Source organism: Homo sapiens, chromosome 16 (assembly GCF_000001405.40).
Source record: "Homo sapiens chromosome 16, GRCh38.p14 Primary Assembly".
NCBI lineage: Eukaryota > Metazoa > Chordata > Mammalia > Primates > Hominidae > Homo > Homo sapiens.
In genome coordinates, this window is record NC_000016.10 from 2,760,822 (window position 1) to 2,771,412 (window position 10,591).

The 10,591-nt window shown below is 54.7% G+C and overlaps 1 protein-coding gene across 1 annotated transcript in view, besides 4 other annotated features; it reads left to right on the forward strand.

Annotated features, from left to right (window-relative positions):
- The window catches only part of SRRM2 (serine/arginine repetitive matrix 2), an 18,775-nt gene extending 8,184 nt beyond the window's left edge, over positions 1 to 10,591 (forward strand). Inside the window, exons 11-15 of the mRNA NM_016333.4 lie at positions 740 to 7,440; positions 8,176 to 8,463; positions 9,531 to 9,644; positions 9,783 to 9,896; positions 10,037 to 10,591. Coding sequence (NP_057417.3) covers positions 740 to 7,440; positions 8,176 to 8,463; positions 9,531 to 9,644; positions 9,783 to 9,896; positions 10,037 to 10,046 — 7,227 coding nt within the window. The 3' untranslated portion in view covers positions 10,047 to 10,591. The remainder of the gene's footprint in view (positions 1 to 739; positions 7,441 to 8,175; positions 8,464 to 9,530; positions 9,645 to 9,782; positions 9,897 to 10,036) is intronic.
- Positions 8,191 to 8,893: an enhancer, noted in NCBI's record as "H3K4me1 hESC enhancer chr16:2819013-2819715 (GRCh37/hg19 assembly coordinates)". NCBI's record gives its function as "activates a minimal SCP1, AML or CMV promoter by ChIP-STARR-seq in primed H9 embryonic stem cells {active_cell/tissue: H9 hESC(primed)}" and the evidence as "EXISTENCE:reporter gene assay evidence [ECO:0000049][PMID:30033119]".
- Positions 8,894 to 9,597: an enhancer, noted in NCBI's record as "H3K4me1 hESC enhancer chr16:2819716-2820419 (GRCh37/hg19 assembly coordinates)". NCBI's record gives its function as "activates a minimal SCP1, AML or CMV promoter by ChIP-STARR-seq in naive and primed H9 embryonic stem cells {active_cell/tissue: H9 hESC(naive and primed)}" and the evidence as "EXISTENCE:reporter gene assay evidence [ECO:0000049][PMID:30033119]".
- Positions 9,598 to 10,300: an enhancer, noted in NCBI's record as "H3K4me1 hESC enhancer chr16:2820420-2821122 (GRCh37/hg19 assembly coordinates)". NCBI's record gives its function as "activates a minimal SCP1, AML or CMV promoter by ChIP-STARR-seq in naive H9 embryonic stem cells {active_cell/tissue: H9 hESC(naive)}" and the evidence as "EXISTENCE:reporter gene assay evidence [ECO:0000049][PMID:30033119]".
- Positions 9,724 to 9,863: an enhancer, noted in NCBI's record as "active region_10282". NCBI's record gives its function as "activates an Ori minimal core promoter by ATAC-STARR-seq in GM12878 lymphoblastoid cells {active_cell/tissue: GM12878}" and the evidence as "EXISTENCE:reporter gene assay evidence [ECO:0000049][PMID:35858748]".

The following is a 10,591-nucleotide window of genomic DNA, read 5'->3' on the forward strand; positions in this document are numbered from 1 at the left end:
AAATGCTGGTCATGTCTCACCAAAACTTTTTAATCCATTGCGTTGCCACCAATAGTTTGAATGAAACACTGAAATAGTCTTCAGTAGTCTTCTGTTCCAATTTTAAGCATTAATCATTTCCTCTTGCTTTAGTGATTACAGTCTGAATTCTTGGCCTCTATCATCAATTTTCCATGTCATCCAGGGTTACCTTTCCAAATTACAAGTTGGTTGACCTCAGAAACTTAACTACTTCCTTATTGCTTTTGAATTATATTTAAGGCTTTTAATAGTCTGGTCTTTTTCTCATTTCCTGTACTCTACCCATCCTGGGCTGCTTTTTTACTCTTCACACAAATCATGTTCTCACATCTTTATTCATGCTGTTTCTTTTCGTTTAATAGAGTTATTCTTCAAAGGTGAAGTTGCCATTCGCTTTAGGAAACTGCTTATTTTTCCATTTAAAGATAGTTTTTTTCCATTCTTATAACATTTTGTAGTGGTATTTGTTAAATGTAGTAGTGCATTAGTTATTTGCATTTTGTGTTTCTTTTAGTTTTAAGATTCTGGCTATCCATATATTCATATGTTTTCACCACTGTGCTTTATATGATTCCTTGTTATTGAATGAAAGTGATCGCTTGTGGTCAGAGGGTGTGTAAAAGAAAAGTTATCATTGGAAAGGGTGTTGGGATCTTAGGGGTGATGTGAAGTTTTGGCGTTTATGAATCCCTATCCCTGCTCTCTCTTCCACTCTTAGAAATCTGCAACTCGACCTAGCCCCTCTCCGGAAAGGAGCAGCACAGGCCCAGAACCACCTGCTCCCACTCCGCTCCTTGCTGAGCGACATGGCGGCTCCCCACAACCCCTTGCAACCACCCCCTTAAGCCAGGAGCCAGTGAACCCCCCATCTGAGGCCTCTCCAACTCGGGACCGTTCACCACCTAAGTCTCCCGAGAAACTTCCCCAGTCTTCTTCCTCAGAGAGCAGCCCACCATCCCCTCAACCTACCAAAGTTTCTCGGCATGCCAGCTCTTCCCCAGAAAGTCCTAAACCTGCTCCAGCTCCAGGGTCCCACCGAGAGATTTCTTCTTCTCCCACATCTAAGAATCGCTCACATGGCCGAGCAAAACGGGATAAATCACATTCTCATACCCCCTCCCGTAGGATGGGGAGGTCCCGTAGCCCTGCCACCGCTAAGAGAGGGCGATCTCGGTCTCGAACCCCTACCAAGAGAGGTCATTCTCGATCCCGATCTCCCCAGTGGCGTAGGTCCAGGTCTGCACAGAGGTGGGGAAGATCTAGAAGCCCCCAGCGACGTGGCCGCTCTAGGTCTCCTCAGCGACCAGGCTGGTCTAGGAGCAGAAATACCCAGAGAAGAGGCAGGTCTAGGTCAGCAAGGCGAGGGAGGTCCCACTCTAGATCCCCAGCCACTAGGGGTAGATCTCGTTCTAGAACACCAGCCCGCCGGGGCAGGTCCCGCTCTAGAACACCTGCCAGGCGGAGATCACGATCCAGAACTCCCACCAGGCGTAGGTCTCGGTCTAGAACACCAGCCCGGAGGGGCAGGTCTCGGTCTAGAACACCTGCTAGGCGCAGATCTAGGACCCGATCACCAGTACGACGCAGGTCTCGTAGTAGATCACCAGCCAGGAGAAGTGGCAGGTCACGCTCTAGAACCCCAGCTAGACGTGGCCGCTCACGCTCCAGAACCCCAGCCAGACGTGGCCGCTCACGCTCTAGAACCCCAGCTAGACGCAGTGGTCGCTCACGCTCCAGAACACCAGCCAGGAGAGGGAGGTCTCGGTCTAGGACACCAAGACGAGGAAGATCCCGCAGTAGAAGCTTAGTTAGACGTGGAAGATCTCACTCTAGAACACCTCAAAGAAGAGGCAGATCTGGCTCATCTTCAGAGCGGAAAAACAAATCCAGAACATCTCAAAGAAGAAGCAGGTCCAATTCAAGCCCAGAAATGAAGAAATCTCGCATTTCTTCAAGGCGGAGCAGGTCTCTCTCTTCACCACGGTCCAAAGCAAAATCTCGCTTGTCTTTGAGGCGCAGCCTTTCAGGGTCTTCCCCATGCCCTAAACAAAAGTCACAGACACCACCCAGGCGCAGTCGCTCTGGATCCTCCCAACCTAAAGCTAAATCTAGAACGCCACCCAGACGCAGTCGCTCCAGTTCTTCTCCGCCACCTAAACAGAAATCTAAGACACCATCAAGACAAAGTCATTCCAGTTCATCTCCTCATCCTAAAGTGAAATCTGGAACACCACCGAGGCAAGGGTCCATAACAAGTCCCCAGGCCAATGAGCAATCTGTAACGCCACAGAGACGGAGCTGTTTTGAATCATCACCTGACCCTGAGTTGAAATCTAGGACCCCTTCTAGACATAGCTGCTCAGGGTCCTCTCCTCCTAGAGTGAAATCTAGCACACCTCCCAGACAGAGCCCATCTAGGTCATCATCTCCACAACCCAAAGTGAAGGCAATAATATCACCAAGACAAAGAAGCCATTCTGGCTCCTCTTCTCCAAGTCCTAGTAGGGTGACGTCGAGAACAACTCCACGGCGAAGCAGATCAGTATCTCCCTGCTCCAATGTGGAATCCAGATTGTTGCCAAGATACAGTCATTCTGGGTCCTCCTCACCAGATACCAAAGTGAAACCTGAAACACCGCCAAGACAAAGTCACTCAGGGTCTATTTCACCATACCCCAAAGTAAAGGCCCAAACTCCACCGGGGCCAAGTCTTTCTGGATCAAAGTCACCATGTCCCCAAGAGAAGTCTAAAGACTCACTAGTTCAAAGTTGCCCTGGATCCCTCTCTCTCTGTGCAGGAGTAAAATCTAGCACACCACCAGGCGAGAGCTATTTTGGTGTCTCATCTCTGCAACTGAAAGGACAATCTCAAACTTCACCAGACCACAGATCTGATACTTCAAGTCCAGAAGTGAGACAGAGTCATTCAGAATCACCATCTCTGCAGAGCAAATCTCAAACATCACCTAAGGGAGGTCGGTCCAGGTCTTCATCTCCAGTCACTGAGCTGGCATCCAGATCTCCAATAAGACAAGATAGAGGTGAGTTCTCAGCGAGTCCTATGTTGAAATCTGGAATGTCTCCTGAGCAGAGCAGGTTCCAGTCTGACTCTTCTTCATATCCTACAGTGGACTCGAATTCTCTCTTGGGGCAGAGTAGATTGGAGACTGCTGAATCAAAAGAGAAAATGGCCTTACCCCCTCAGGAGGATGCTACTGCATCACCTCCTAGACAGAAAGACAAATTTAGTCCCTTTCCAGTACAGGATAGGCCTGAGTCTTCACTGGTATTCAAAGACACACTTAGAACCCCGCCAAGGGAAAGAAGTGGTGCTGGGTCATCTCCAGAAACAAAAGAGCAAAATAGTGCATTGCCTACGTCAAGCCAAGATGAAGAGTTAATGGAGGTGGTAGAGAAGTCTGAAGAACCCGCAGGCCAAATCCTGTCTCATTTGTCTTCAGAACTTAAAGAAATGTCCACAAGTAACTTTGAATCATCTCCTGAAGTAGAAGAAAGGCCTGCTGTGTCTTTGACTCTTGATCAGAGCCAGTCACAGGCTTCTTTGGAAGCAGTAGAAGTCCCTTCAATGGCCTCATCTTGGGGTGGGCCACATTTTTCTCCAGAACATAAAGAACTGTCTAACTCCCCACTCAGGGAGAACAGCTTTGGATCACCTTTAGAATTTAGAAACTCAGGCCCACTTGGTACAGAAATGAATACTGGATTTTCTTCTGAGGTTAAAGAAGATTTGAATGGACCGTTTCTTAATCAGCTGGAAACAGATCCATCTCTAGACATGAAAGAACAATCGACAAGATCCTCTGGACACAGCAGTTCTGAGTTATCCCCAGATGCAGTGGAAAAGGCAGGGATGTCTTCAAATCAGAGCATCTCTTCACCTGTGCTTGATGCTGTACCCAGAACACCCTCGAGAGAAAGAAGTAGTTCTGCATCTTCTCCTGAAATGAAAGATGGTTTACCCAGAACTCCATCAAGGAGAAGCAGGTCTGGGTCTTCTCCAGGACTTAGAGATGGGTCTGGGACTCCCTCGAGGCACAGCCTGTCTGGGTCCTCTCCTGGAATGAAAGATATACCTAGAACGCCATCTAGAGGGAGAAGCGAATGTGATTCTTCCCCAGAACCGAAAGCTTTGCCTCAGACTCCTAGGCCGAGGAGTCGTTCTCCATCATCCCCAGAGCTCAACAACAAGTGTCTTACCCCCCAGAGAGAAAGAAGCGGGTCAGAATCATCAGTTGATCAGAAAACTGTGGCTCGGACTCCCCTGGGGCAGAGAAGTCGTTCGGGATCCTCTCAAGAACTTGATGTGAAACCCAGTGCATCCCCTCAGGAAAGAAGTGAGTCAGACTCTTCTCCAGATTCTAAAGCCAAGACAAGAACCCCACTTCGGCAGAGGAGTCGGTCTGGATCATCTCCAGAGGTTGACAGCAAATCTCGACTATCCCCTCGGCGCAGTAGGTCTGGTTCCTCCCCTGAAGTGAAAGATAAGCCAAGAGCAGCACCCAGGGCACAGAGTGGTTCTGATTCCTCTCCTGAACCTAAAGCTCCAGCCCCTCGGGCCCTTCCCAGACGAAGCAGATCAGGTTCATCAAGCAAAGGCAGAGGCCCTTCTCCTGAAGGAAGCAGCAGTACCGAGTCCTCTCCTGAACATCCGCCCAAATCCAGAACTGCTCGCAGAGGTTCCAGGTCATCACCAGAGCCCAAGACCAAGTCTCGTACACCACCTCGACGTCGCAGCTCTCGATCATCTCCGGAGCTAACAAGGAAGGCCAGACTGTCCCGTAGAAGCCGCTCTGCCTCATCCTCACCAGAAACTCGCTCTAGAACTCCCCCAAGGCACCGGAGAAGTCCCTCAGTGTCTTCCCCGGAGCCAGCCGAAAAATCGAGGTCTTCACGCCGACGGCGCTCAGCTTCATCTCCACGCACTAAGACAACCTCAAGGAGAGGCCGCTCTCCTTCGCCAAAGCCTCGTGGACTCCAGAGGTCCCGTTCCCGCTCAAGGAGAGAGAAAACAAGAACAACCCGACGTCGAGATAGGTCTGGATCTTCTCAGTCAACCTCTCGGCGAAGACAGCGGAGCCGGTCAAGGTCGCGGGTTACTCGGCGGCGGAGGGGAGGCTCTGGTTATCACTCAAGGTCACCTGCCCGGCAGGAAAGTTCCCGGACCTCCTCTCGACGCCGAAGAGGCCGCTCTCGGACACCCCCAACCAGTCGGAAGCGTTCTCGCTCACGCACATCACCAGCCCCGTGGAAACGCTCTAGATCTCGAGCCTCTCCAGCCACTCACCGGCGATCCAGGTCCAGAACCCCCCTGATAAGCCGACGTAGGTCCAGATCTCGAACTTCACCAGTCAGCCGGAGACGGTCAAGGTCCAGGACTTCAGTGACTCGACGAAGATCCCGGTCAAGAGCATCCCCAGTGAGCAGAAGGCGATCCAGATCCAGAACGCCACCAGTAACCCGCCGTCGTTCAAGGTCTAGAACGCCAACAACACGCCGCCGCTCCCGTTCTAGAACTCCACCAGTGACTCGCAGAAGGTCCAGATCCAGGACTCCACCAGTAACCAGGAGGCGATCTCGAAGCAGAACTTCGCCTATCACTCGCAGAAGATCAAGATCCAGAACATCTCCGGTCACCCGAAGGAGATCTCGATCTCGCACATCTCCAGTAACTCGAAGAAGGTCCCGCTCTCGAACCTCACCAGTGACACGCCGCCGCTCTAGGTCCCGGACACCTCCAGCTATTCGGCGCCGCTCTAGATCTCGAACGCCACTGTTACCACGCAAACGTTCTCGAAGTCGCTCACCACTTGCTATCCGCCGCCGCTCCAGATCCCGTACTCCACGAACAGCTCGGGGTAAACGGTCCTTAACAAGATCTCCTCCAGCCATCCGCAGGCGTTCTGCATCTGGAAGTAGTTCTGATCGTTCACGATCTGCTACTCCTCCAGCAACAAGAAATCATTCTGGTTCACGGACACCTCCAGTAGCACTCAACAGTTCCAGAATGAGCTGCTTCAGTCGTCCTAGCATGTCCCCAACACCTCTTGATCGCTGCAGATCACCTGGAATGCTTGAACCCCTTGGCAGCTCTAGAACACCCATGTCTGTCCTGCAGCAAGCCGGCGGCTCCATGATGGATGGTCCAGGTCCCCGAATACCTGACCACCAGAGAACATCTGTGCCAGAAAATCATGCTCAGTCCAGGATTGCACTTGCCCTGACAGCTATCAGTCTTGGCACCGCTCGGCCTCCTCCGTCCATGTCTGCTGCTGGCCTTGCTGCAAGAATGTCCCAGGTTCCAGCCCCGGTGCCTCTCATGAGTCTCAGAACCGCACCAGCAGCCAACCTTGCCAGCAGGATTCCTGCAGCCTCTGCGGCAGCCATGAACCTAGCCAGCGCCAGGACACCTGCCATTCCAACAGCAGTGAACCTGGCTGACTCTCGAACGCCAGCTGCAGCAGCGGCCATGAACTTGGCCAGCCCCAGAACAGCGGTGGCACCTTCGGCTGTGAACCTGGCTGACCCTCGCACTCCCACAGCCCCAGCTGTGAACCTAGCAGGGGCCAGAACCCCAGCTGCCTTGGCAGCTCTGAGTCTCACAGGCTCTGGCACACCACCAACTGCTGCAAACTATCCCTCCAGCTCCAGAACACCACAGGCTCCAGCCTCTGCAAACCTGGTGGGTCCTCGGTCTGCACATGCCACAGCTCCTGTGAATATTGCCGGCTCCAGAACCGCCGCAGCCTTGGCCCCCGCGAGCCTCACCAGTGCTAGGATGGCTCCAGCATTGTCTGGTGCAAACCTCACCAGCCCCAGGGTGCCCCTTTCTGCCTACGAGCGTGTCAGTGGCAGAACCTCACCACCGCTCCTTGACCGAGCTAGGTCCAGAACACCACCGTCTGCCCCAAGCCAATCTAGGATGACCTCTGAACGGGCTCCCTCCCCTTCCTCTAGAATGGGCCAGGCTCCTTCACAGTCTCTTCTCCCTCCAGCACAGGATCAGCCGAGGTCTCCTGTGCCTTCTGCTTTTTCAGACCAATCCCGTTGTTTGATTGCCCAGACCACCCCTGTAGCAGGGTCTCAGTCCCTTTCCTCTGGGGCAGTGGCAACGACCACGTCCTCTGCTGGTGATCACAATGGCATGCTCTCTGTCCCTGCCCCTGGGGTGCCCCACTCTGATGTGGGGGAGCCACCTGCCTCTACTGGGGCCCAGCAGCCTTCTGCATTAGCCGCCCTGCAGCCAGCAAAGGAGCGGCGGAGTTCCTCCTCGTCGTCGTCGTCCTCTAGCTCCTCCTCTTCTTCATCATCGTCGTCGTCGTCCTCCTCCTCCTCTGGCTCCAGTTCTAGTGACTCAGAGGGCTCTAGCCTTCCTGTGCAACCTGAGGTGGCACTGAAGAGGTGAGGGAGCTTGACTTTTAGAAATCTTCAGTGGGGGAGGTATTGGGGATGGGTTGGGGAGTGGGGAGGGAGAAACCATGTCACAGGTGCTTGGCTCTTGGAGGAGGTATGGGGACCTTGACCCTCAAGCTGGGGGTAGAAGAGAATGCTGGGGCAGGGGGCGGAGGGAGGAGGAATGGGACAGATAAAAGTCTCCGAAGGTTCATTCTCTAGAGGATAATGATAAGTTTTCCGTCTCTACAGAGGACAGAACTAGAGGAAATGGACTTAATTTTACAGCAGGAGGGATGGCAGTTAGACCTCAAGAGGAACTCCCTGGGCTGGAAGGATCTTCAGAGGTCATCCCATCCCTCTCCCTGCCTCCAGGCAGGACGGCCCCTTCCCCAGCCAACCTGCACTCACAGGGGCCTCCCCAAGCTGCGGCTCTCCGAGGAAGGAGACTACCCAGCTTCAGCTTCCACACCTGAGCCCAGAGGCCTTATTCCTCCATCAGGGACATTCTTGAGGTTTAACCTTGATCCCTTATGCTGCGGGCCCCAGCCTGTTGCTTCTGTTAGCAGAGGTTGGGTCAGCTCGCACCACTGCTCTCCAGAGAATTGCTGGCTCACGTGGCTCGGAGAGCTCCCAGCGCCTTTCTCAGGCACCCCTCCCCCCACTGCCGTTCCTCCAGGCCAAGGAAGGTAGGGTTGGGGCTGGGGCAGCTTGTCTCCTTGTGACACTCCTCTCCTCCCACAGGGTCCCCAGCCCCACCCCAGCCCCAAAGGAGGCTGTTCGAGAGGGACGTCCTCCGGAGCCAACCCCAGCCAAACGGAAGAGGCGCTCTAGCAGTTCCAGTTCCAGCTCCTCCTCTTCATCTTCCTCCTCCTCCTCCTCCTCCTCTTCTTCCTCCTCCTCTTCCTCTTCTTCTTCTTCCTCCTCATCTTCCTCCTCCTCGTCGTCTTCCTCCCCTTCCCCTGCTAAGCCTGGCCCTCAGGCCTTGCCCAAACCTGCAAGCCCCAAGAAGCCACCCCCTGGCGAGCGGAGGTGAGTGCTGTCTTGCCTGAGTTGAAAGGTGGGTGGGGGAGTGACTTGTCCAGAGAAGGGGCCCTGGGGTGTGAGCTCCCCGCTGGGTGTCTCACGTGGCCTTGGGCATCTGGTTGTGGGGGAGGAGGCACTTGCTCTCCTCTCCCCATGCTCGTTGCACCCTGTTCTGGCGAAGGGCTGCGCCATCCACAGCGGCGCTCAGGCCAGGACCAGGGGGTCCTTGGTTTCTTCCTCTCCCTCCCTCAACACATAGCCTGTTCCCAGGGTTCTAGCTTTGTCTCCCTGTTGCTACTGCCAGGGCTCTGGTCTGGCCACCATCATCTTCTCCCGACTCTGTCCACAGCCTCCTCCCTGTCTCCCCGTCTCCACGCCATTCTCTTCCACATGTAGCCAGAGGGACCTTTCTAAAACGCACATCTGGCTACTTCCCTCCACTCCACAAATCCTTCGGGACGCCCTGTGGCCTGCAGGACAAAGCCCCACCTCTGCGGGAGTGGCGTGTGAGGCTCTTCACCAACGGGCCTTGCCCGCCCTGTGTTCTCCTCCTGCCCGCCCCCACACATGCCCTGTGCTCCAGCCACACCCAGCGCCTTGCAGTCTAAGGAGAGCCCATGCCTTTGGACATGCTGTTCCTTCTGCCTGGAATTTCCTTGTCCGCCTGGTGAACTCCTCGTTCTGCAAGACTCCGCTCAAAACAGCACCTTCGAGAAGACTGCCCTGCCCCTTCCCTGCCTTGCCCCATGTCCCCCTCCCTTGGGTCCCCAGAGCCACGCACATCCAGCCCTGCTTCCCACACACGGGGCCGTGCGTGCCTTTCTTCACCACTGAGCTCCTTCAAGGGCAGGGACTGTCTTTATCTTTGCATCCCCCGCTGCACCCTGTGCCTGCCCACTGGGCACTCGGTGGATGGTGTGCGGGCGGATGGGTGAGTGAGCGGACAAAGGTGGGTCTGAGGCTGGCCCTGTGTGGTGTGAGGTTTGGTGGTCAGGACCTGGGCGGGTGGTCCTGAGTGCTGGCCCGTGTGCTTGAAAGGGTGTGGTGCTATTGGGTCCTACTGTGTTCCCCAGGTCCCGCAGCCCCCGGAAGCCAATAGACTCCCTCAGGGACTCTCGGTCCCTCAGCTACTCGCCTGTGGAGCGTCGCCGTCCCTCGCCCCAGCCCTCACCACGGGACCAGCAGAGGTAAGGCCAACTGCAGGTGTCAGCACCCAGCCTGTCTGGCCGCCACTGCTTTCTACAAAGAAGAAAGCTTTGCGGTTGTGGCTATGTGGTGCCTGAGGTGGTGCCACCCTGTGGCCTGATGTCTGTCCTGTGTTGCAGCAGCAGCAGTGAGCGGGGTTCCCGGAGAGGCCAGCGTGGGGACAGCCGCTCCCCCAGCCACAAGCGCAGGAGGGAGACACCTAGCCCTCGGCCCATGAGACACCGCTCCTCCAGGTGCGTGTCCTGGAAGGCTGATGCCCCCTTCCGGGAGCCAGTTGTGGTGGTGGGTGGCGGCCCCATTTTGGGAGTGGCCCAGAAACTGGCCTTGAGGGCTGGGGTGGGAACTCCCTGTTGACCCATATCTTCTCTTGCAGGTCTCCATAAATTGTCTTTGGGGGATTCCACCACACCCAATGCTCTGGAGCCACAAGGAGTGTCCCTTCTTCCCCAGCAGAGCCGTGGGAGGGTCCTTGTCTGCTCTCCTTTGAACCTTGGCAGCCCTTGGATGGAGGGCTCCCTTTCCCTCCCCTTTTTTTTTTCTTTGTTCCTGTGAAATGTTAATCTCCGTGAGTTCTTCCTGGTTCATGTGTTCTGGGGGGTTTGGGGTGGGAGGGAATGCAGATGGGAGTTGGGGGAGGGGAGGATACAGTTCAGGATACCCCAGCCTGGAGTCAGGGCCAGGGAGGCATGGCCCCACTTGTATCCAGAAGTTCCCAGGGGTGATTGTGATGGTGGTTGGGACTGGAGGTTGTATAAGGTGTTCTTGGAAGGAAGGGGCAGGAGTTGGAATTAGTTGGTCCCTACTGTCCCCCATGAGGTTGTGAACCCCTCCCCCCAACTTTTCATGTTTCTTAAAGGCATTTTGGTTTTTTAAAATCTGTACAGCAAGAGCAACTTTTTCTGTCAAATAAAAATGAGAAATGCAGGAA